This window comes from Homo sapiens, chromosome 14 (genome assembly GCF_000001405.40).
Source record: "Homo sapiens chromosome 14, GRCh38.p14 Primary Assembly".
Lineage (NCBI taxonomy): Eukaryota > Metazoa > Chordata > Mammalia > Primates > Hominidae > Homo > Homo sapiens.
In genome coordinates, this window is record NC_000014.9 from 88,160,634 (window position 1) to 88,186,195 (window position 25,562).

A 25,562-nucleotide genomic window follows, 5' to 3' on the forward strand; every position below is an offset into this window, starting at 1 on the left:
ATTCCTCTTAACACTGCACTTGAATCCCACTCAGAGACACAGCACTAGCTTCTCTCTGTTGAATCTCGGGGTTAAGATCTAATTTTTCCAACTCTCTCATCATTTTCGTTTCCTTCACAAGTGATTCTTATGGGTTTTGCTGCATCCTTTAGTGTGAATTTCATTCTTCAGTGTGAATTTCACAATGACTTGGGGCCACAGGTTTTCCCTTCCCTCCCTCCTGCCATTCCTCCTTTCCTTCCCATCCACCCTTCCTTTCTTCTGTCCATATTCATTGACTGCCTACTACTGGCCAGGCTCCACTGGGGCACTAAAATAAATTAAGTTGCCAATAATCAGGTGGGAGATGAATAGGATTTCAGGGGAACAGGTAACCTATTCTCTAATACAAGCTTGAGAGAAAAGTGACTTGAAGAGTTGGCAAAAAATGTGGAGTTTTCTAGGCAACTTGTGGGTGGGTAAGCAGAGCCTGAGGGGATACAGGAATTATAGTTCTTGCCCTGTATATCACCCCAAATTTTCAGGTCTAGTTGGAAGCAACCATTAGGCAAGGCGAAAAACAGTAGAACATCAATATAGCGTGCCTCAGTTAAATATTTTTTGAACTGTTTTTGCACTGCAGAAGTGTTTGTTGAATAGCTAACAGAATCTAAGTTGAGAAGTAAACTTTAAGAAATTGGACTAATATTGTGATTTTTGATATTATTGGTCAGAATCATTTCCCATTTCTCATTATAATAGTTAAAGCAAGTACCTGATTTCTTAGTTTTTAATTCTCCTATAAGAAGTTAACCTTGCAGGAGAGGTGGTTTTCAGTGGTCATTCCCTGAGGAAAAATGCCTTCAGCCCAACCTCAGTATATACACATGCGCGCGCGCGCGCGCGCACACACACACACACACACACACACACACACACACACACACCACTCCACCATATACCCACCAACTATCCCTGAACCATCCAATGTATTTTTTGCTGGTCTTATTTCCAAAGCTAAGCAAAAGAAGAAGAGATTGCTCTCCTGGCTGATAGAAAATCATAGTAAGTTTTGAGAAAAAGCCAAGTAAATAGTTTTCTGGAGTTCTTATTCCATCTCCCATCCCAAACCTACCGTAAGAATCCAAAAAATTATAGAAATGGCTGGGATTTTTAATTTCAAAAGTCAGTGATGTGAGTGAAAGGCTGTGATCAAGATTAAGCTTCAGAAAAGTATCTCCGAGCTCCCAGAGAGTTGCTGTAGTGAGTGCTGAATGTCTATGGCACTAGTACTGGAAAGCAATGTGGAGTGCACAAAATTCCCTCATCACTGTAGACAGCTGAAATGCTCAGAAAATTTTGAGGAATCTCTGAAAAATGCAATGGGCTCAGCCCAATAGTGAAGAGGTCTCATGTGTTTCTGGTCTTGTAAAGACCAGAAATGAAATTTAACATGCATATTTTTAAACACATCATTTAGAAGAGAAATACTACTGAGCCAGATAACTATTGAATTTTATGAGTCCTAATAAAAAAAAGGGAGGAGGTTGGCTATAGGAAAATAAGATTTTTTGTGCTTATTCTATTTTGTGACGGTCCTTCCTTTTTTCCTTCTACTCATATTCATATTCGGAAGTTTGTGAGACTTCTCAATTGCCCTTCTCTCCACCTTGGCATTTTTCTTCTCTCTAGGATCCTGACGTATTTCTCTCGTGCCTCAAGGACGTTGACTTTGGAGAGAGCTGTTTTGAGTTTGAATCATGATTTTGGCACTTACTGGCTTTGTGACTTGGGAAAATTCTCTTGTTTGGCATGTATTTTCTCTTCCATAAAATAAGAATTATCATCCTTACCTCACAGGATGGTTATGAGTATAAACCAAGCTAATATATGCCAAGTGCTTCATACTTGCTGGCACCTATAGACACTCAATAAATATGAGTTTTCTTTCTCAGAAGAATAACTGTTGTTTTTTATATTCAAAGCTATATTCTCTGTCAGTGTCCTCAATAGTCCCAAACTGGGCAAACCTGGGGCTGGACACACAGAACACTGTGCCCTATCCTTTGTTCGCCTGAGAGCCAGGGCCAGAAGTTAACACACAGCTTAGCAAACAAGTATTTTCTTAAAAAAAAAAATGTGGAGTGACTGCAAAGCTCACCTCTAAGGCTCTTTTCAGCTGACATTATGACATTACGGGACTCTGCCTTCTAGGATCTCCCATGGCAGGCAAATACCTCTGACACACCTCCACCCCATGCATACATCTGACAAAACGGAAAAGAATAAAGCTGCAATTTGGAGGCCAAAGTGAGGCAAAAAGAAAGGCTGATGTTGAGAAGCAAACTTACTGTTCCAGCCTGGGGTCCTCCCTGCTATTGTTAACCAAATTGATGTTTTCTTTGGAAGACCACTCTGTCAGTTGATGGCAGTGGACACTGTGTTGGGAGAAGAGTCAAGATTCGACATCTACCTCCTGGTTACCTACTTGATTGATGGTCTACACCACAGAAATGTCCCACATTTTTCCCACACCACAGCCCCTCATAACCAAACTCTATAAAGAGGAGGACTAGCTCCCACCCTCAGGCATATTTTCACTCTTCATCCCATTCTCTTCTCTTCTTACGATGGAGCCCAGTCTGTTTGGCCTTGCCTAAGTAAGAATGGCATAGAGAAATCTCTAAAAGGTCAGGGGTTCCCTGGGTGGAAAGAATTACTGATGAGTTTTTGTTCACATTGATGAATGGGCAGTCAATCAATATGAAAGGAAGGGAGGGAAGGAGGGGTAAGGAGAAGAGAGAAAGGGAGGAAAGAAGGGCTTGTAGACAGTAACTGATGAGCATGTATATAGTTGCTGATGAAATGAGGACTGAAATGTGCTAGCAGCTCCTGTCTCAAATCCACAGCTAAAAAAACCCAGAAAATTTTGTAGAATTTGTTTCTGAGAAACAGAAGCCACTGAGTCAAAGTTCAAAATAACTAGGTTTGCATCTCTGAAAAGCTGTTTTCTAGCTGGGCGAAGAAGTCTCTTTCACCCAATCGTATGTATGAACTCTTGCTTTCCTCCCTGACGGGACTGGAAGCTCTTTTTACAGTCACGATATGGCTCTGGTCTGTGGTCCTAGACCAAGTTTTCATGGTACTCCCCTCTTTGGCCTCACACTTCCTCACGAAACTTCAGTGCTGCCTCATGGCCTGCAGGATAAAGTCCAAGTTCCTCAACATAGTATTTGAGTGGCCATGGGCCTGGCTACCCCCGCACCCTTATCTTGGTCTTTCCATTATAACAGCTCCCCATGGCTCATAGTTCACTGCTGCATCTCTGTGCTTTTGCTCATGGTTCCACTCTGCCTAGAACCCTCACCTACCCATACCCCTAGGCGAGCTGCTACAAGGTTCCTGCCTCCTTCCTCTGTGTGTGACCTCTGCCCCAACACTTGGCATCCCTCTCTCATTGCACTGGCCACATCCTGTAACATTGATCAGCTTCATGGTTTTACTCTCACTAGACAGTGAGGTCCTTTGGGGAGAAACACTGTCTTACCTCTCTCTCTGAATCTCCACCATGGAGAACCACGCCCAGCACACAGTAGGCATTCAGTAAATATGTGTTGGGTGAAGGGGTAAATGAAGGAAATGTCCATGTTCTCCCTTCAGTTGAAACTCAAATGTCCTTTAGAAGATTGAACACTAAGTTTGAAACCACCCTGACTGTTGCTGCCTCCATCCAACCTCTTGGCAGGTGTATATTTTGTGCCTTTTATCCTCGTAACCTCATTTCTCTTTTTATTCCCCTCTGTCACTTCAATGGCGTGCCAACCTCCATGCACTGAGCAGCTGATAAGGCTGGAAGCCTGGCAATGGTAACTACCAGAAAGTTTCGACTCCCAGAGATGGTCATGGACTTTCCCAAAATATGTTCCTGGGGCCCCAAAGTGTGTGGTGGGAGACAATGCTTTCTATTTTATGTAAACCAAGGAGAACTTGGCATGCAAGTGTGGGGGTGCCACAGCAGGAATATGGAATTCCATCCCAGACTCTTCTCACTCAGGTTGGAAATGTGCAAACAGCAGCTAGAGAAATATCCATCTGGATTACTGCAGACACGATCAGGGCTTTGTGTGGAAGGTTAGGCTAAGTGACCTCAACATTCTCTGTCCCTATATTGGCAGGTCTCGGTCTTTGAGTTCAAATTTGATAACCTGCAGTGAGTTTTTGCTGGGACTGTGATTTGGACCCAATTATCTCATTTCCCATTTCTTCCCTCCCCAGTGGAGACTGGAAAGACTCTGAGCCCCTGCACATCCCTTCTCCTGGCTCTTCACTACAGAGGGCTTGAGGCTTCTCCTCTCCTTGGTTCTTCCAAGGTCCAACCTATGAAAACAAAAGTGAAAATTTGAGTTATAAATACCGTCACCAAAATGTAAATGACTAGAAATAGCCACTCTTGAGTCTTACTGACACACATACAGAAAATATGTGACATCTCCCTGGTGACTCAAGGCAGTGTGAACAGCAGCAGCAGTGGGCTTGATAGTGATGCTTTACATGCCTTTGGCACAAGCACCTCCCTGGAACTTAGCTAGGCGTCTGTAGCTAATCTTCAGCCACAGGACCTTCTGGCATCTTCCATGGCCTACCTGTCAGTTTGAAGATTGACAGCAGCTTGGAGCCCTCACCCAGACGAGCAGCAAAAGAGGAAAATAATGAGTAATTCATGAAAGAGTCACCATCAAGGGACTCTTGGGACTATTTGAGAGAAACCTGGGCTGGGGGGAGGGGAGTGCTGGAGCCCTACAGAGCAGCAGGGGGCAGTGCCAGAGAAATATTATTCTGTGGCTGTTACCACAATTCTAAGCCACAGCAAAATGGATGGTTTCCCTTTATTGTTTTGTTGCATTCAGACAATCTGGACTAAGATGGCTGGTTCCTGAGGAGGAGTTTGGAAGTAAAGAGGAATGGTGATTTGGGACTCATAAAGACATCCCGAAAGTGGGGGTTGGGAGAGCAGGATAGCAGAGACCTGCCACTGGCAATGCAGGGCTCTCAGTGGAGTGTCCTGGCAGACTGTGAGGGCAGGGAGGAATCTGTTGTTTGACAGCAGTGAAGGGGGCAATACCCCTTTTATTGTAATTATCCAGTGGCTGACAAAGGAAGGTTTTCTTGACTCATGTGAACCCAGGAAATAGGGCCTTCGAGTCCTTTGCCTGGCGTGGCAGGGCAGTGGCACAGGTTCTGCACAAGGCAGGAAAATGGGACCTGATGCCACTGCCTGTCACATCCGTGCTAAAGAAAGGCACAATGCTCAAGGCCCATCGCACGTGATGCCCATTTCTGCACCATTACTACCCACCCCTCCTACACCCTGCAAGACTCATGGGATGGACCTTTTAGGGAGTAAAAAAAGGAAAGAAAAACTGTAAACATTCACAAGGCATAGAGAGACTGAATCCCAAAGTGCACACAAATACCATTAATACCCCCAGCTCCCAAATCTCCCCCAGGCCAGTCTTCCTGGCCTCCCAAGACCAGAGAGAAGTGGCCTCTCTCAATGCGAAATGATCTCTAAATGCCAAGAGGTGTTTTTGAATAGAATCATGCAAAACTTAAAAGGGTCCTCATGAAACAGATGAAGATGATGGATACAACAGTACCACCTGCAGTCAAACCATCTCAACCTGCAAGAGGAGCCTCTGGCTAAAGGTCAGTTATTTCGCAGGCTGGAGATTAATCACAGAGCTCAAGAATATGAAAGCAAAGAGAAACAGAAAGGAGGGAGAGGTGGAAAAGGAACCTGTAACCTCCATTTTCTCTCTCTGGGAGCCACATATAGTGAAGAAAAAGCATCAGGGTTGGGAGGTCTGGTGTGGTTAGGAGGTCCAGTGTGGGTGGTATTCTAAATGTCAACATAAACGGTAAGTCCACCCACTTCCCTCTACCAGAACTTTGCCCTTTACTGCTTCTAAAAGGATGGGTCATAGGGAATAAAAGAGGGAGACAGGATAAGAGGAAAGCAAAGACATGACCTCGCCTTTTCCCTTTAAGACCTTGGGCAAGTCACACTCCCTATCCTGGGCTGCCTGACATGCTAGCTGGGAATTTTCTGACTTTCCCTGGCATCACTGTAGTATTACAGCCAGATCATAACCTGAGAGCTGATGCGCTTCCTCACCTAAAATGGAACAGACGGGAGGGAGGGTGGAATGCTGTTTGTGTTCAGGTATGAGTCATTACCATGCATCCCACTTCCTTGAACCTGACTCTTAATTGCATGCTTTAGCCAAGATTCAGCAAAAGGAGAGCTTGGGAGTAAGTCTCCATTGGCAGAGAGCACCCATGTTGTTTGCTGCTCATTTTTCTACCCATGGGAAAAAGAACTCCTAACCTCTGGAGTCAGTAGTCTGGCCACGAAAACTCATCCAAGTGACTTGGGGAAGAGATAAGATTCCCTGGCCCCAGGTGGTGCAGAGAAGTGGGTGGTACCTCCTGGAGTCCCCATTCCTTCTATTATATGTGGTTTTCATAGTGGATTAGAGGCTTCATGGCAGTGAAGTGCCAATAAGAAGAAGGTGAGATCTGGAGTTAAACATGTCTTGATTTTATATCCCGGCCCCATCACCCACCGCTGGTGGGTGTGACCTTGAGCAAGTCACTGAAGTTGTCTGGTACCTAGGATGCCACACACACCCACCCACCCACCCACACACACATACACACACAGAGCAAAGAGTAATTGCATTTTGGTTCTGATGCACATGAGAGACTGGCAGGTTTAAACTCCTCGATGGGCCAGCAACTGTTGAAAGGCTCTTCAGTTTCTCTTTGGAATAAAAATAAACAAGTTCAAAAAGAAAAGAAAGCAAGTTGAAAAGGGACATGTATTCTTTGAGGAAGCAGATTTGCCTTCAGTGGCCAAACAATGAGTTGTGAGGTTTTTCCACTGGATCATTTATACTTTTTTGTATAGATAACAGCAGAGGATAAAACTAGTAATAGTAGAAATAATTAAATGTTTACTCTTTAATAGTAAATAATAAGTAGTTAAATATTTAAGAATAGAGTCATTAATTTTGTGTGTGTGTATGTGTGTACCTAACACAGAGGCAAGGGCTTCATGTACAGTATCTTTGGGGGATTCTAACCCGGAAAATTCTAACCTCTTGATTTTTTTAAAATCTTTTTAAGAGGCCTCCTCTTACTTTGTTCTAATCGCCTTTGGGACATCTATGGGTCTCTTTGTCAGAAAAGACCCAGAAGCCTGGGCTTATAGTATAGAAGTGGGGAGAATCCCCTACCACTGTAAGCAACGAGCATTGTTTTTATTTAATGGGAGTCACATTGTGCTGTCTTGCTGCACGGATAGCCAATTCTCTACATCTTATAACACAATAAACCAGGGAGGAGAGGGGAAGGGAAAGTACAAGTCCCCTTTGGTGAAAAAAAAAAAAAAAAAGAACACACTGGGGTGATGCCAGTTGCTAAAGGGGGCAGCACCAGGGACCAGGGACAAACGTGGAGAGGGCGTCATCTTCCGCTCCCCCTGTCCACCATTGCAGTCACAGCAGAGGCTTTCCCTGATGGGGGCTGGCGTGAGTGCACTTAGAGACAGCCTTTCCAGGGCTCTTTGCAGCAACGGTACCCCTGTTAAAAGTGAGCCCATTATACCCCAGGCTTGCATGAAGGGCGGGACCTATCTCTCTCTTCCTATACAGAGTGGCAGCATCCCAGAAATGGATGGCAGACAAGCTGCAGCGCTGTCTGTCCTAGACTGGGGGAAGAGGCTCTGTCCCAAGCCCATTTCAGTGGTAGCCACCAGAGGAGGATTCCTGCAGACCTCACTCACACTGCAGCCAGAAGCTAAAGGACAACGTCTATACAAACGGAAAGTCTTGAGCCCTGTGACAGGGGCATGATAGGGAAACAGATTGTGTTCTTGCCTGTCCAGGGCAAGGAGCTGGTGCGGCCCCCTACCCCTGCCCCCAGCCCTGAGACCTCAACATATCCCAGCACAACTCCCCCACCACCCCCTCACTCCAACTCCACTCCACATGAGGGCAGATGCCTACACTCATCACCAGGCTACTCAAGGGCTAGCCAGCTTTTACTCTTTAGTGCCACCTACTGGCATGGAGACCAAACAGCACCACCAAATAAGCCTGCCAGAAGGGCACAGTGCTAGCGTGGGAGACAAGCTTCCTAAGATCTCCACACTCCCAGCCCTGCAGAAGATAGTGTGTCAATATGCATCAGTCTTGTGTGTTATAGACCCAATACATCACTCCAACAAGCAGTATTTGAAAAAACCACTGCATAAAAGCTTTCCATAACCAAGGAACCCATACAGAGACTTGGTCCCCTGAAAGCACCCAGAAATGAAACCAAATGGTCATACACAATATACAACACAGTCATACCTTCTAGGGAAAATAAATTTTTAAAAAGTCTTAGCCAAACAATAGCAAATTCAAAAGTTAGAAGCGACAGTTTCTTTAGTTGAGAAGGAATCACCTCAAGAAATCTAGCAGTACAAAAAAACAGTTCTGACACAAAGGATCAAACTAGCATTCTAGCGATGGATCCTTACCAACATGAAAATTCTGAAATGACAGAGAACTCAACATATGGACTGTAAGGAAGACCTCAATGCAATCAATGAGATCTAAGAGAAAGTTCAAGGATCAATGAGATCCAAGAGAAAGTTGAAAACAAACATAAAGAAATCGGAAAAACAATTCAACATATGTATGTCTCGTATATGTTATATATATATACATATTTGAGACAGGGTCTTGCTCTGTCACCTAGGATGGAGTGCAGTGGCACGATCTCAGCTCACTGCAACCTCCACCTCCTGGATTCAAGGAACTCTCCTGCCTCAGCCTCCCCAGTAGCTAGGACTACCGGTGCTGGCCACCACGCCTGGCTAGCTTTTGTATTTTTAGTAGAGACAGTTTTACCATGTTGGCCAGTCTGATCTCAAACTCCTAAACTCAAGTGATCTGCCTGCTTGGACTCCCAAAGTGCGGGCATTATAGGCATTAGCCACCACACCCGACTGAGGTGGCTATATTTAAAAACAAGCAAAACTTCTGGAAATAAAAAATTTGCTACAGCAATTTCAAAATACAGTTGAAAGCTTTAACAATAGACTAGATCAAGCAGAAGAATTTCAGAGGTTGAAGACCAGTCCTTTGAATTAACTCAGTCAGATAAAAATAAATAAACATATTTTTTTAAAAAAATGAACAAAGCCTTCAAGGAATATGGAATTATGTAAAAATGACCAAACCTATGACTTATAGGCATTTCTGAGACAGGAGAAGAAGAAAAAGTAAGCAATTTGGAAAAGATATTTGAGGCAATAATTCAGGAAAATTTATCTGATCTTGCTAGAGAGGTAGACATTCAGTTACAAAAATTTCAGAAAACACCTGCAAGGTACTATATAAGATGAATATCACCAAGGCATACAGACATCAGACCATCAAGATCAATGCTAAAGAAAAAATCTTAAAGTCAGCTAGATAAAAAGGTCAAATCACCTATAAAGAAAATCCCATCAGACTAACAGCAGACTTCTCAGGAGAAGCTTTACACATCAGAAGACATTGAGGGCTTATCTTCAGCCTTCTTAAAGAAAAAAAAATGCCAATCAAGAATTTTATATCCTAATAAACTAAGCTTCATAAACAAAAGAGAAATAAAGTCTTTCACAAACAAGTAGATGCAAAGGGAATTCATCACCACTAGACCTAGCCTACAATAAATGCTCAAAGTAGTTCTAAACAGAAACAAAAAGACAAAACAATACTCACTAACATAAAAGCACACATAAGGGCAAAGTTCACAGATCCTATAAAGCAGTTATACAATTAAGACTACAAAGCAACTAGCTAGCAACACTAAGAAACAAACCTCATGTGTCAATATTAACAAAGAAACAAACCTCACATGTCAATATTAGTCTTGGATGTCAACAGCCTAAATATTCCACTTAAAGTATACACATTGGCAAATTGGATTTAAAAAATTAGACCCAACCATCTGCTGCCTACAAGACACCCACTTAATGTATAAAGACACCCATAATATCAAAGTAAAGGGATGAAAAATGTTTTATCACTCAAATGAAAAACAAAAAACAGTAGGGAATTGCTATTCTTAGATAAAACATACTTTAATTAGAAAAGAAGACTTAACTATCCTAAATATATACACACCCAACACTGGAGCACCCAGACTTATAAAACAAATTCTGCTAGACCTAAGAAAAGATATAGACAGCCATACAAAAATAGTGAAGGATTTCAACATTCCACTGACAGTACTAGATAGATCATCAAGGCAGAAAACTAACAAAGAAACTCTGGAATTATACTGGACTCTTGACCAAATGGACCTAATAAACATCTACAGAACATACCACCCAGCAACTGAAGAATATTTTTCTCATCTGCATATAAAACATTCTGTAAAATTGACCATATCCTTAACCGTAAAGCAAGTCTCAATAAATTCAAAATAATGAAATCCTATCAAGTATCTTCTCATATCACAATGGATTAAAATCAAATATCATTACCAAAAGGAATTCTCAAAACCACACAAGTACATGGGAACTAAACAACTTGCTCCTGAAAGACTTTTCAGTACACAATGAAATTAAGACAGAAATCAAAAATATTTTTGAAACAAATGAAAATAGAGACACAACATACAAAAACCTCTGGAACAGAGAAAAAACAGTATTAAGAGGGAAGTTTATAGCATTTCATGCCTTCATCAAAAAGAAAGATCTCAAATTAGCAACCTAACATCACACATCAAGAAACTATAAAAATAAGAATAAACCCAAAGCTAGCAGAAGAAAAGAAATAACAAAGATTGGAACAGAACTCAATGACATTGAGACCAAAAAAAACTATACAAAGGATCAGTGAAATGAAGTTGGTTCACTGAAAAGATAAACAAAATTGATAGACCACTAGCTAGAATAACCACATTAAAAAGAGAGAAAATGTAAATAAACAGAACCAGAAATAATAAAGATGACATTACAAATGCACAGAAAGTAAAAAGGATCATCACAGACTACTATGAACTTTTCTGTGCACACAAACTAGAAAATCTAGAGGAAGTTAATAAATTCCTAGAGACATACAACCTTCCAAGACTGAATCAGGAAAAAACAGCAGTCCTGAACAGACCAATAAGAGTAACAAAATTGTATCTGTGATTTAAAATATTTCAACAGGAAAAAAAAGCCCAAGACAAGACAGATTCACAGCCAAATTTTATCAAATGTAAAAAGAAATGCTGGTACCAATATTATTGAAACCATTCCCAAAAATCAAGGAGGGGAGATTCCTTCCTAACTCATCCTATGAAATCAGCATCATCCTGTTACCAAAATCTGGCAAGGACACAACAGAGAAAGAAAGATACAGGCCAATATCTTTGGTAAATATAGACATAAAGTTCCTCAACAAAATACCAGTGAACTGAATCCAATAGCACATCAAAAGAAAATTCTAGGGATACAAGGATGGTTCAATATACACAAATCAATAAATGTGATTCACCACATAAACAGAAGTAAAAACAAAACCCATATGATCATCTCAATAGATACAGAAAAGGCATTTGATAAAATCTAGTATCCTTTCATGAAAAAACATCCTCAACAAAATAGACATCAAAGAAACATACCTCAAAATAGTAACAGCCCATATATGACAAACCCCCAGCCAACATCAAGAATAAGAAAAAGTTGAAATTATTCTCCCTAAGAACTGGAACAACACAAGGATGTCCACTCCCACCCTGCCTATTCAAAATAGTACTGGAAGTCCTAGCCAGAGAAATCAGGCAAGAGAAAGAAATAAAAGGCATCCAACTTGGAAAAGAGGGAGTCAAATTATCTATTTGCTGATGACATGATTTTATACCTAGAAAACCCTAAAGATTCCTTCAAGACTCTTAGATTTGATAAACAATTTCAGTAAAGTTTTAGGATACAAAATTAACATCCAAAAATCAGTTGCGTTTCTGGACCCCAAAAACACTCAAGCTGAAAACCAAATCAAGAACTCAATCCCATTTATCATGGCCACGAAAACATATAAAATACCTAGAAATACATTTAACCAAGGATGTGGAAGGTCTCTACAAGGAGAAATACAAAACTGATGAAAGAAATTATAGATGACACAGATAAATGGAAAAACATCCTATGTGCATGGATAGGAAGAATCAATAGTGGTAAAGTGACTGCCCAAAGCAATCTACAGATTCAGCATAATTTCTATCAAATTAACAATGTCATTTTTCACAGAATTAGAAAAAACAATCCTAAAGTTCATATGAACAAAAAAGAGCCCAAATAGCCAAAGCAATCCTAAGCAAAAGAAACAGAGCTGAAGCTATCACATTATCTCACTTCAAACTATACTACAAAGCTATAGCTGTAACAAACAAAACAGCATGGTGCTGGAATAAAAAAAAAAGTCATGTAGATCAAATGGAACAGAATAGAGTACCCAGAAATAAAGCCACATACCTGCAACCAACTTTATCTTTGGCAAAGTCAACAAAAACAGGTAATAGAGAAAGGACATAAATGGTACTGGGAAAACTAAATAGCTATGAAGAATGAAACTGGGCCCCATATCTCTCATTATATACAAAAAATGACACAATATGGACCAAAGATTTAAATGTAAGACCTGAAACTATAAAAATCCTAGAAGAAAACCTAGGAAAAACTCTTCCAGACATTGTCCTGGGGAAAGAATTTATGGCTAAGACCTCAAAAGCAAATACAACAGAAACAAATATAGACAAATGTAACTTAATTAACTAAAGAATTTCTGCACAGCAAAAGAAACAATCAACAAAGTAAGCAGACAATCTTACTTTAAAAAGGGAGACCATATTTGCAAACTATGCATCCAACAAAAGACTAATATCTAGAATTTATAATGAACTCAAATGAACAAGAAAAAAAAAACAACCTCATTAAAAAGTGACATAGTAGACACTTCCCAAGAGAAGACATACAAGTGGCCAACAAATATATGAAAAAGTGTTCAAGCATCAGAGAAATGCAAATTAAAACCACAATGAGATATCATTTCACAACACTCAGAATGGCTACTATCAAAAAGTCATAAAAGATGTTGGCAAGGAAGTGGAGAAAGGGAACACTTATACACTGTTGGTGTGAATGCAAATTAGTTCAACTCCCATGGAAAACAGTATGGAGATATCTCAAAGAACGAAAAATAACCATTTGATGCAGGAATCTCACCACTGGGTGTCTACCCAAAGAAAAGAAATCATTATATCAAAAAGATACCTGCACTCATATGTTTGTCACAGCACTATTTACAATAGCAAAGATATGGAATCAACCTACGTGTCTGTCTATCAACAGATGATTAGATAAAGAAAATGAGGTATATATTCACCGAGAAATACTACGCAGCCATAAAAAAGAATGAAATCATGTCCTTTGCAGCAACATGGTTGGAGATGGAGGCCATTATGTTAAGTGAACTAACTCAGAAACAGAAAATCAAATACCACATGTTCTCACTGATAAGTGGCAGCTGAACAGTGGGTACACATGAACACAGAGATGGAAATAATAGACACTGGGGACTCCAAAACTGGGGAAGGCTGGAGGGGTTCCAGGTAAAAAGTTACCTAGTGGGTACAGTGTTCATTACTTGGATGTAGTGTTCACTACATATCCATGTAACAAACCTGCATATGTACCCCCTGAGCCTAAATAAAACAACAAATAAACTAGGGAGATACATGAGCAGAGGGCCTGCTTTGTAGCTTTAATAAAGTCACTGACATTTCTATATGTTTGTCTCCCTATTCCATAACTACAAAAAACATTGTCTGTCTCACCTTCAACAGATGGGAGCTTCTTGGGCAGAGGTACAAAATCTGACATATTGCTTGGGCTTGGCATATGATTTAGTGCTAACTGACCCCCTCTGCCTTCACACTAGTTTGAGATGTATTGAATTGAAGCCAAGCATTTTCAGCGTCTGCCTTGAATCTTCTTCAAAGGTCCTCTGGTCAAGCTGGCTTCACACATGCCTCAGATGCCATGGATGAGTTATTTTGTCTAGAGCACTCAGTTGGCCCCTTGGAGGGGCTGGTCTCATAAGGTCCCCTTCTCTGTCCCAGCCCTTCCACGTGTGGGCAGAAAATTGGTCCTGCATCCCAGCTCCCACAGGGCTGAGCTATTGAAGCTGCCCAACAGTGGGCATTCAATATAAGTCTAGCTTCCCAGAGGGCAACCAGGCCCTGAGGGGTCTGGAGCCAGGACCTGGAAGCTGGTTTGGCTATGGGACCAACTGGATCTCTCTCTCCACAGCAGGCCCACTATTCTGCCCCTATTCCCTTTCCTCTTTGCCTAAGAGGGGAGGCAGATTCGGCTCAGCATTTGGGAGTCTCTTGTCTCTGGCACCCACACCCGCCCACCAAGGCAGAAAGAGGTTGGAAAACAGGAGCTCAATTGCAGGTGCTTCTGGCCTCTAGCTACAGGAAACTGCCTCCCCAACCCTTTCTCAAAAAGAGACTGTGCATTTCATGGCACAACGCACGAATACAAAGTGTTTCTATGGTGTGAATCTTCCACAAATCAGGGAGAAAAATGATCTTCTGTTTCTACCCAAGAAACAAAATCATTCAGGTTCAAACCAAGAAGAGAACCATTTTGGTCAGAAGGAGAAAAAAACGGTTTAGATATGCACGAAGTGGTGAAGAACTTTATTTTCTGTAGATCATCATGACATCAGTTTCAAGACCCACCCAACTGGGAGCATGTGAAATTTTTTCTTAGAAGGTTTGGACTGGGATCTTGGGACTCTGCACCTACCCACACTGCCCCTCGCCCTCTGGCAGGGCTGCCCTGGGTCTTCTATGCTGAAGCCCACTGTGCTGTCCTTTCTTTTCAGGGGCTAGACACAGGCCCCCTGTGTGGGACTCCAGACTCCTCTCTGCCCTGTCCCCAACCTGAAAGGGAAACCTCTCTTTCCCATCACTGCATTCCAAATCACTCTACTCCCTGTCAAATGAAATCTTGTGAGACTGACTTTTGAAACAAACAATGAGGAATACTCCTACCATTGTGTTTCTCCCTAGAATGAAGCCAAAATCTGGGATCTGCTTGATGCAAGATAAGAGGAAAGGGGGAAGTAAAAGGAGAGGGGAGAAAAGTTAATATACTGTGTATTATTCAATCACACTTGCTTTCAGAAGGAGTTACAATTCCTGTTGTAGCTGGTGACCAGTAGCACCGATTTTCTGTTTATCTTTTAAGCTTGGCTTAGAGTTTGTAATTTGTTTTAGTCATTTTAAAGCATTCCCCCCTTCACAGAAAATGTCTTATAACAAAGTAATCTCAAATGAGTATATATTTGAAGTATTCTCTGGACAAACAGATCAATCTTAGATATTGATCAGAATATTTAATTAAGCAGAATTATGCTTTGGAGCCATTCAGGTTTCTCTGCTACCTAACAAGTCCTATACCATCTTTAAGATGCCCTGTCTTACAGGAAGCCTGCCTTGACTGACAAAATGCAAACTGATCCTCACACTCTCTTAATTCCTATCAATTTTGTGGTAATTTCTTGTACTCTTGAACCCAATTATATACAGTCTTACTGCCAGCTCTTTACCTCCCCAGAGCACATTGCTCAAAGCTACCTAACTCTACTGTGCAAAACTTTGAGGGCCGTGAACATGACCTAGTTGTTCCATCATTTTCCCAGGGCCTCATACATCACAGGGTTCCATAAATATTTATTCAATGAATGAATGGATTATACAATCTTAACCAGTTGCTATTGCCATTAGCTATTTCTCCTATTTTCCTCAGCAATAATTCACTGGGAAAAAATGTTTGGGGTTCATATTCGCTCACGGAAATAATGAAAAGGCCCGTTACTTTTCTATGAAATCAAATAACTGAAGAACAAAATGTTATTTAAGGTATTGATTAATGTTCTATATAAAATACTGAAACGCACAGCCATAAATTATGCTGGCATTATGTGTATTTCTATTTCTTATGTTTCCAACTAAGGCTGTTGATGCTAGAATGTTAAAAAACGTTCTTCATTTCAAAATAAATTCGTATCTCATTGAGGTCCTGTGATTGTTTTTTGCTTCAAGCATTTGCAAAACAATTCAAAAGAGCCATCAATATAGGCACTTTACAGACAACAGCATCAATTATTATGTTGGAAAATATTTTAATATTATCACATTCCAAGTGAGGAAAAATCTTTACTTATCCTGCATGATTCCAAATAATGAATAATGACCTTTAAAATTCATTTAATAAACAGTTGTCTTAATAATAACTTGTGTGACAATGTTTTTTTAGTTTTAGATTCTTACATCTTTTTAAATATATTTCTAAGAACAGGTCATCCAAAATTTGAGATATTTCACATGAAGAACATGTATGGAGGCTGACCTGTATGCCAGTTCAGATCCGTAGAGCCAGGTGTGCACTGCATTTTAAAACTGGGATAGTTTGGTTGGAAGAGTATCTGCGCCACTCTGGCTTCTTTGGTTGATGCAAGTTCATGGAGGTGACCAGATAAAAAGCTGCCATTGTGGTTGGTATTCTGTCTTCAGAAATCTCCCAACATATTTTCCATTTGTCTGGACTGCTATCCTTTGTCCTGGACTCCTGTCACACACTGCATCCTCCTGACTTCCCCTCTAGCTCACCCCAAATTTGGGCTCCCTTCTGCTCCGACTCTCTGCAGAGCCCCTTTGCTCAACACCACAGTTTTGGATTTGCTCTGTATTCAATGACTATCTTCCAAGTTCCTGCCACGTCTATTCACTGTGCCAAGCCCATGAAATTAATGAGAGAAAGAGAGCTCCCTCTAGGAACTCTCGATGTGGGGAAGATGACAAATGTCAAAAACCGGGGGACTGTTCTTACCAGGGGATCATTGGAAGGCCATCTAATCCAGTCATGGAGTTGCTGAAAGGCTTCTAGAAAGCTGGTGCTCTTGTGGAATGATGGCCAAGAAATAGCATATGTGAGACCTCTCTAGGGACTCTCGGAACTAATTGGGGAGAGACTGTAGGGACTGGAGGCCCACAGAGAAGCTAGGGCAGGGCCAGATAAATATTGTTTTATGGTCATTGTTATGATCCACTCCTATGAGGATAAGCAAGAAGCCCTTTCTAATACAATTATTTTATATCCAGGTACTTTTGAGTTCTCTAAGAAATACAGGCCCATTTACTATCATTTTGGAAAATTCTTTTGATGGTCAATAAAGTGTCAGATTACCTTGCTGCTGTTACTCTAAGTGACTAATGCTACTTTATTCTAAATACTGTACCCTCATGAAAAAATGAGAGGAAAAGGCAAATAATACCTTACTACTACTCTGAAAATAATTCTGACTTCATGGACTCCCTGAAAGAATCTCAGAGTCCTACTTGGATCACTAGGCCATATTTTGAGAACTGCTAACAGGGAATGTAACCTTAAAATAGATTTTAAGAATGTGCCTGGATTAGTAGGGAAGGAATTATTTGATTGATGAATGATGCCTGCCTTGGGCACAGGAGCAAAGCATAATCTCATATTTCCTAAGTATACAGACACTCAAACTCTATCTACAGTAATACGATTGGTTTTTAAATAAGCATTCCATTATCTATACATACAAATGAAAGCTGTCCTTCATAGTAGTCATGTTTAGAATCTAGTTATTTCAACAACTATCACTGTGATTAAACTATTGGAGTTCACTGTAAATCCGAAATACAAATCAAACTCATTACTTTATAGGCAAATTTGGTTTTGACCAAAATGATACTTAGGAGTTGGATAAGTTACTTACGCTGCCAGTCTTGGCTCCAAATGACTTCCGCTTCCTGAACAAATTAAATCTGCCTTGAAGGATGAAAATGTGTGATTAATAAGGTAATAAGATTATCCCACCAAGGCTGGGCACGGTGGCTCACACCTGTAATCCCAGCACTTTGGGAGACTGAGTTGCATGGATCACTTGAGGTCAGGAATTCAAGACCAGCTTGACCAACATGGTGAAACCCCGTCTCTACTAAAAATACAAAAAAAAAGTTAGCTGGGCATGGTGGGCACATGCCTGTAGTCCCAGCTACTTGGGAGGCTGAGGCGGGAGAATCACTTGAACCCGGGAGGTGGAGGTTGCAGTGAGCTAAGATTGTGCCATTGCACTGCAGCCTAGGCAACAAGAGTGAAACTCCGTCTCAAAAAAAAAAAAAAAAAAAAAGATTATCCCACCAATAATTTGAGTTTCTATAATGTATCAGGTACCCTGTTGAGTGCTAAGGATGGAAATGAAAGGCACAATCTCTGCCCTGAGGCATTTATAATATGCACGGAACAGACGAGGAAACTAGCACTTAAAACCCAGCATAAGCAGCACTATCACTGAGGGGAGCTCAAGCTGTGTTGAAAGCAGCTAACTCCAAGGGGATGGAGAGAAGTAAGGAAAGACTTCCTGGAGCTACCTCATCAGCTGAGTTCTGAGGACTTGAATGAGTCAGGTAGTAGTGGAATGGGGGAAGTGGCGCATCAGTGAGGACGACTTCCAGAGGGATAGCAGGTGCAAAGACATGAAGATAGAAGAACTGTAGACCACTTACACTTGCTCTGACACACAGTTGGGAATACACCTTTGAAACCATGGCATGTCTCCCTCACAAAAAGAAGAGGAGAGACGGTGAAGACAAGTCAGAAAGAACCACATCACATTCTCTGGAAAAGTCATGAAAGCATATGTCCCCTGCAGCCACATGGCCTAGTGAGATACTCAGGCTTGGAGCTGATTAACTTGGGTTGGAGGTTTCCTATTCTCTTTGAGCCTCAAAGTTTTCATCTGTAAAATGAAGATATTCAATTTATGGTTGCATTTGCAAGGGTAAATGGGATGTTTGTAAACTGGTAGATAACAGGTGCTCAAAAATGGTCAGCATTTTGTTTCTGCTCAATATTAATAAGCCCGTGGCTGGCAGATGCATAGCAAGAGCAAAACCAAACACAGCATGAAATGTCGGCATCCAAGGGGTTGTTCATTTTATACTGGAAGACCTGGCGCGATGTCTAAACTTAGTGTTTCACCAAGAAAATGTGATTTATCATGCTGGTGTAGTCCCGGCAATGTACAATCAAGATCAGGTTGAAACAGGGAAATGAAAGTAAATGTGCAGCAACAATTCTGTTTTTTTTTTTAAGGTTTCTCTTCATGGATTGCTTTGCGCTCCTCCTCCTGCAAGACAGTGAGTCTCCACAGGCCCATGAATGTCATAAGTGAGTGCAAGCTTGAAGAAGCACCTATCCTGTGCTCAGGACAAAATATCTGTGGTCCAGAGCAGAGCTCCCAACCCAGCTACTATGAACCACGCTAGGCCCCAGAAAAGAAAGGAAAACAGAAGAGACATTGGATTGGATCTTCCAGAAGGTCTTTGTTGCAATTTTTCTCCATCATTGAAAAAAAAATTACATCATCAAATAAAGACAATAGCAGCACAGCTTATTGAAATGTCACAAGCAAATTTGTTTTGTACTTTCCCTAAGAACATTATGAAATCTCCCTCCCCCCACATTATTTTCTGTAAAATGCCTTTTTTTTTAAAGCACCATGAAATCCTACGGAAAGAAAAATAAGTAAAACACCTCCACACATGGATTTATCATCATTGTCACTGGGTCCCCTGTCTGTGACTCTGGGATGGGAAGGAGGCCAGAGGCTGGCATGTGAGGTGGTTTGCATATCACTTCTAGGCACCACTGCACCTTCTCCCTTCAAGCTCAGAGCCCTGACAGCAAAAGAGAGCTTCCGCAGTTACCTTCTGCAGCATAGGTCTGCTGAATCGACGGAGCAGGAGTCCTCTCAAAATAATTTATTTTAATGCACAGGGAACTATTTCAGATTTTTCACCTAAGAATCAAGAACACAAAGTAGATACCAAATCTCAGGCACCTGTGAAAATGATAATAACTTTCAGTAAAATCAGAGACACCTCTCATTTCTCCTCAATGCCACTGCACTGATGTCAACTGACTTAGGGCAGGCATGAGAGAACTGAGGTTTACATGGAGTATGGATGGGTTGGTGAAGTCCAATGAAGGTATGGTGCAGAGACAGAGGACAGGGCTTTGCTTACAGCCATGTAATTAGCATGCTGTTCCAAAGTTTCCCTATGCAGAATTAACAGCATCCACAATGCCACACTAAAGTGATCTTTGTTTCAGAGAGTTACCCTTTTTCTTTTTAAGGCCATTACTAGCCAGCTCTTACTGTTCACTCAGCCACTGTCTTTGCACACAATTGCATCCTAACAGTGAGAAAGAATAACCCCATATTAGCAAAATGCAACAAGCAGAGATGTGGAATGCAACACTGGCTGGTTTTTCCTTTCTCGTTTTACAGGGGCTCTGAATGTTTGTTTTCCTACGCCTTTCCCGTGGTTCAGAAACCCTGGTACACACTGGATGCTTCATATTCTCACCAAATCCAGTGGGTAAAAACCAGCCCCACCCAAACTCTGGTCACCTTCTCACTAGTCCTCAGAACCCAGCATGCAAATAGACAGGCAGCATTGACGAAGCCAGGAAATGATATCATCTCAGAGGGAGGCAAGGGGGCAGGTTCTTAGCATTCAGCTCAACTAGGACTTTAAACATGGAATGGTCCTTATAGAACCCAAAGCAGCCATTTCCTCAGGTGTGTGTGTGTGTGTGTATGTGTGCGTGTGTGTGTGTGTGTGTGTGTGTGAGAGAGAGAGAGATGTCTGTCTGATCATAGTACTTGAATTCATGATACATGAAGTACTACAATTGACTGCAAATAACAACAGCTTAAAATTTCTTTAACTAGTCTTAACACCATGCAAAAAATGCCCTCACAGCATGAGCCCTCCCGGTGACAGTACACTAAAGAGCTATAAGGGAGGATAGAGAGAGCCTACACAGGGCATGATCCGAATTTGGACACCAGTCTCCCAAGTACATCTGGTCTCCATTAATCCCCCAAAAGACAAATCCCAAAGGGCAAGAGACTAAGCTCTCACCTTAACCTAAAATGGGCAAGACAATTAATTAGTCATTATTCACAAATCCAACTTATAATTTAATCTTAATAAATTTTGTGAACTCATGGACTAGGGAGTGTTTCATTAGAGAACTGCACAACTACAATGGCCCTTGACAAGTATCTGTGCTCAACTCCCTCCCTTGATGTGCAGACAAGGTAACAAGAGATCTAGGCAGAGAACTGATGCACCCACAATCACAGGCTATGACTGCTGGAACACAAATAGTCCTAGTTACCTTAGTAACAGGCCAGAGATGGCCCAACACCACCCCAACCCGCACACACACACACACACACACACACACACACACACACACACACACACACTCTATACAGCCCTGCCCCAAAGTGATAAATATCACTGTTGGGTTAGGACTGGGTATGGAGCTGTACTCTTTCCAGGAAAAAATGCCCATTGGCTCTCTCACCAGTAAACCTCCAGATTTGTCATGCAAGAAAAATTCAGTGCCTGCTTGCCAGTGAAGCAAAAGACAGCCCCCACTGAAGATGGTGGACGTGTGCTCTTTCTTTGTGTGAAATCGAAACATTTCTCCTAGGTTTATGCTGGAATGGGAGTGCAGATTGGAAAGGGGGGGCTGTGCTGATGCATGTATAGAATGTGTAGCAGCTTTGACCTATCACGTGTATTCTACATGCCATTTGGCCCCATCTAAAAAAGGTAACATTCAAGTAACTTCAAACCAACTGGCCTCCTCCAAAATTAGTTTATATGAAGAGGAATCCAACCTCTTATTCTCTCTCAGCATCTTTGCGAGAGTATTTCATAGGTTTCTAAACACTTTGCACACATATTTAATCGATCAATCACCATAGAGGATCTTCTTTGATTTTGTTCATCACATTCTTGGCCAAATGTCTCAGGGAATGGGTTATGTAGAAAATTTTCCCACCCCCAGCCCAAGGTTATGTTTGATCCCTCTGTGTGACTGATTTGACTCATTTGGGGAAGCATCTATGCACATACCAACACATGCACCTGTTCCATTTGGTAGAGTATGCAGCTTAGTGCTTTGAACTATTTTATTCCTGCTGTATGCAGAGTTTCTACAAAGTTAGCAAGTAAAGTGCAAAAGAGTGCTTTCAAAGGGCATTTTTTAAAGGGTGCCACATACAAAATTTCCAAAACCAAATAAATGTACAGTAGGTGTCTGCAGGGGCAACCCTTTGAGCCATGTTTACACAAAGACCTTGTGCCCTCTTGGTGGTGGAGATTCCACCATATCTGCTCCCCACATCTGTAAGCTGTGTCCATGAAGCTAGAAAGACACACATACACACAAACACACACAATCACAAGGATGCATGACACAGACACTGTAGTGAAGTTGAAAGCAGACTTTGGTCAGACTTTGAATACCAGCTCTACCACTTTCTTGCTGTGTGCCATTGGATAAATAACATAGCTTCCCTGAGCCTCTGTGTCCTTGTGTATATAATGGGTTTGCAAATACTTCCCACATAGTGTCGTGAAGTTTCAATGAGCTGACGTTCATAAAGTGCCTAATCCTGTGCCTGGCCCACAGAAGGCACTGGATAAATGAGAGGGAAGCCTCTGCCAGATTTGGCCGTAGGGCCTGGAATTTTAACACACTGCTACAAAGAACGTACCAGATAACACAGAGTGGAAACCAAATAAGTGAGATCCATGGACAGTTTAATTAGGAAGCTTCGACTTGTTAGAATAACAGAGGAAGTCCCAGTTATCTACCTATTCCTTAAAACACATTTTGTCAGGCTGGAATGATTCCCATAGTAAAACTCAACATCCACACCTGCATAAACATCGCCTCCCAAGTGACTATTTATTACTGAGTCGACACAGGATGTCACCAGTGAGCCTCATCTCCAGTCCAATGGAGGAGTTGACTTAGACCTTCCTTGGACAGGAAGGGTCTCATAAGCAATGCCAGAACTTCAACAGAGCCTAAAGGTCTGGGGACAGGGAGATGGGACTTCATGTGCTCCAGGCAGGGAAGAGCTGTGCATTTTTGAGAAATGGGCAGGGACAGGTCTTCCATGGTACCAGTGGTTGAGGATGTCGTGGGTACAACTTTCCCTGGAGGTCAGAAAGCATGAGACAGTTTCTGGAAGTCTCCGCTAGTGCTGTGATCTTTTGGTAAATCCACACTGCGGGTTAGTTACGTAAAATCCCGTGAACTCTGTAAAAGGTAGCAGTGAGCCTAGAACACCCATAACCAGCAACTGCCTGGTGTTGCCAGGTCCAAATGCTTTCACGTGTGGCCCAAAGAGCTAGCTGTGAACCAGCCAATTATGATAAAGACTGAGGCATACACAGGAGTATGTATTTTCCCCTTTCTGATACAAACCCATTTAAAATCATCATGCAACCTATGACTAGCCATTCCCCGACTTTCCTCTGCGGGATGTTCTAGCCTCACAGACCAATCATAATTATGATGTGTTAGCTTATCGTTTGCCTGGGAACAATCAGTCTAGGGTGTTCCAGTTTTAGTGAGTAACCGATGTGAGATGTAGAAACAAGCAAGGAGCAGTGGTGACTTTTTCAGAATAAAGGAATGCCCAAACATAAAAGTAAAATGAAATATTTTAAATATTTCTAAGTATCATTGTTAAATGGAATTAATGGCACTTACGCTGCAAGCAATAAAAACATTTCAAGCTTACTGTACAAGGGGTACATTTTCTTTTTGTTTGGAGATAGCGAGATTGGATCTTATCACTATGTCTACCCTAAGACACCCAAGGGACAAAAAGCCCTGAGATGGAAAGATGCCATGGTCCTCCTCAGTGTGTCTCAGAAATGCAGGATGTCTACTTTTGTAAAAATGTAGGATCAGCTAGACAGAACAGCAAGCCACTGGCATCATGCAAGGCAATTGTTTTGGTATTTCTACCCCTCTTATCAAAACAAGTTATAACCAAAGTACATGGACATTTCCAAATCAGTTTATTGTCACCATTGCACCCACTGAGGAAAATGCATGATTGGCCTTTAACCACGCAGCAGTTGATGTCATGTTTTCACCACTGCTCGCCAGTTCATGTGGACTACCTACCCCTGTGAGAAAGACCAAACTCAGCAGGCTTCTGTCATTGGTTAAGGTGATATCCACAGTGTGATGTGTTTGTGATTATTTTTTTTCTTTTGTCATGAGAAAAGCAATTGCACCTTTTCGTACGTGTGCTCTGATCTGCTTCCAACAAATTCCAGGTGCTCTCAGGTCCCCACAGACATTCATTTGGAGCATAGAAAGACTAGGTATGATGCACTGAATGGTTGGTATCAAAATTCAAGCTCAGAGCACATGCCAAAATGTCAACTCCAACGCTAGTTACACATAACCAGCTCCCACCCAATCAGGTCCCCTTCTGTGTGTGCACATATTACTACGACTCCACTAAAAAGACACACCTGTTTCTTTCAGGAGGCTGGTCTAAGGAATAGCTGCCCTTGTCTACGTGTGTGCCCAGGTAGCACTGCCCAGGGGTACAGCACTGCCACTGAAATGCCCTTAACATGTACGGCCAGAACCGGCTACGTGCACGGACACTCTTGGTGTGTCCTGCGTTTGCTATCTGAAATGAAGTTCTTGTTCTCTGATTCCTTTTGGCAGAGCAAGCTTTCAGTTGTTTATGGCACAGTGAAATATATTCTTCAATGCTATGTAATTTTGGACTAAAAAGTCTGTTTAAGGCACATGTCTCAGTGTGAATATTAAAAACACACACACACACACACACAACGCTCAGTCCAAGACCAATGTCCTTCACATTTAGTTTCTGTCTTCAAGTAATGAGTTGTTCTCCGGCTCCCGGTCTTTGGTGTCCGTGGGTATCATTCCGTTCTCCAACTCAGCGTGCTGCTGGATACAGTCCGTCAGCATGGCTGTGCTGGAGTTGTCTGAGTTACACATCTTTTCCGTCTCCTCCTCTTTCTTCTCCTCGTCCAGGGAGTAATTCCGGAAGGTCTTGTAGATTTTCTGAACGTCCTCGGGCAAGGTCTTTTTGAGGTCCTTGTTTTTCCTCTTGGTGAGTCTGGAGGTGGACCCGAACTTGTTGATGATGTTGTCCTCGGACGCACCCTGCCCATGCTTGTTCAGCTGCTCCGGCCCCTTCAGGCGCAGGTTGTTGGGCCGGTTGTTGATGCTCTCCTGGGATGAGGCCTTGAAGCGGCCGGTGTCCAGGGCAGCAAAGACAGAGCGCTTCTCGGGGGACAGCATGTCCAGTGAGTGGGCCCGCTGGTCCAGGCCCAGCCGCCGGCGCTCCATGCTGCGGATGGTGGCCGCCCGCTGCAGCTTATCGTGGATCTCCACGCTGAGCCTTCGCCGTGTCTCCCGGAACTCAGCCGTGACATTGGCCTTCCACTCTGCCGCATGGGCCTTGATTTCACCCACCTGGCCAAGAGACAGAAGAGCAACAATATGCTGACAAATG

General features: G+C 42.1%; 1 protein-coding gene and 1 long non-coding RNA gene across 6 annotated transcripts in view, besides 1 other annotated feature; one reads left to right on the top strand and one right to left on the bottom strand.

Annotated features, from left to right (window-relative positions):
• Nucleotides 1–19,565, top strand: KCNK10-AS1 (KCNK10 antisense RNA 1). 3 transcript variants are annotated; one of them, XR_944120.2, is made up of 3 exons: nucleotides 1–5,685; nucleotides 16,439–16,519; nucleotides 19,265–19,565. It is a non-coding gene; the product is annotated as a KCNK10 antisense RNA 1 (long non-coding RNA). The 3 variants fall into 3 exon arrangements; XR_944119.2 differs by lacking the exon at nucleotides 16,439–16,519 and having other exon boundaries at nucleotides 1–6,551; XR_944121.2 differs by lacking the exon at nucleotides 16,439–16,519.
• Nucleotides 4,397–4,546: an enhancer, noted in NCBI's record as "active region_8835". NCBI's record gives its function as "activates an Ori minimal core promoter by ATAC-STARR-seq in GM12878 lymphoblastoid cells {active_cell/tissue: GM12878}" and the evidence as "EXISTENCE:reporter gene assay evidence [ECO:0000049][PMID:35858748]".
• Nucleotides 19,475–25,562, bottom strand: part of KCNK10 (potassium two pore domain channel subfamily K member 10) — a 146,805-nt gene continuing 140,717 nt past the window's right edge. For all 3 annotated transcript variants that reach the window (NM_021161.5, NM_138317.3, NM_138318.3), the window contains exon 7: nucleotides 19,475–25,522. In NM_021161.5, coding sequence (NP_066984.1) covers nucleotides 24,902–25,522 — 621 coding nt within the window. In that variant the 3' untranslated portion in view covers nucleotides 19,475–24,901. The remainder of the gene's footprint in view (nucleotides 25,523–25,562) is intronic.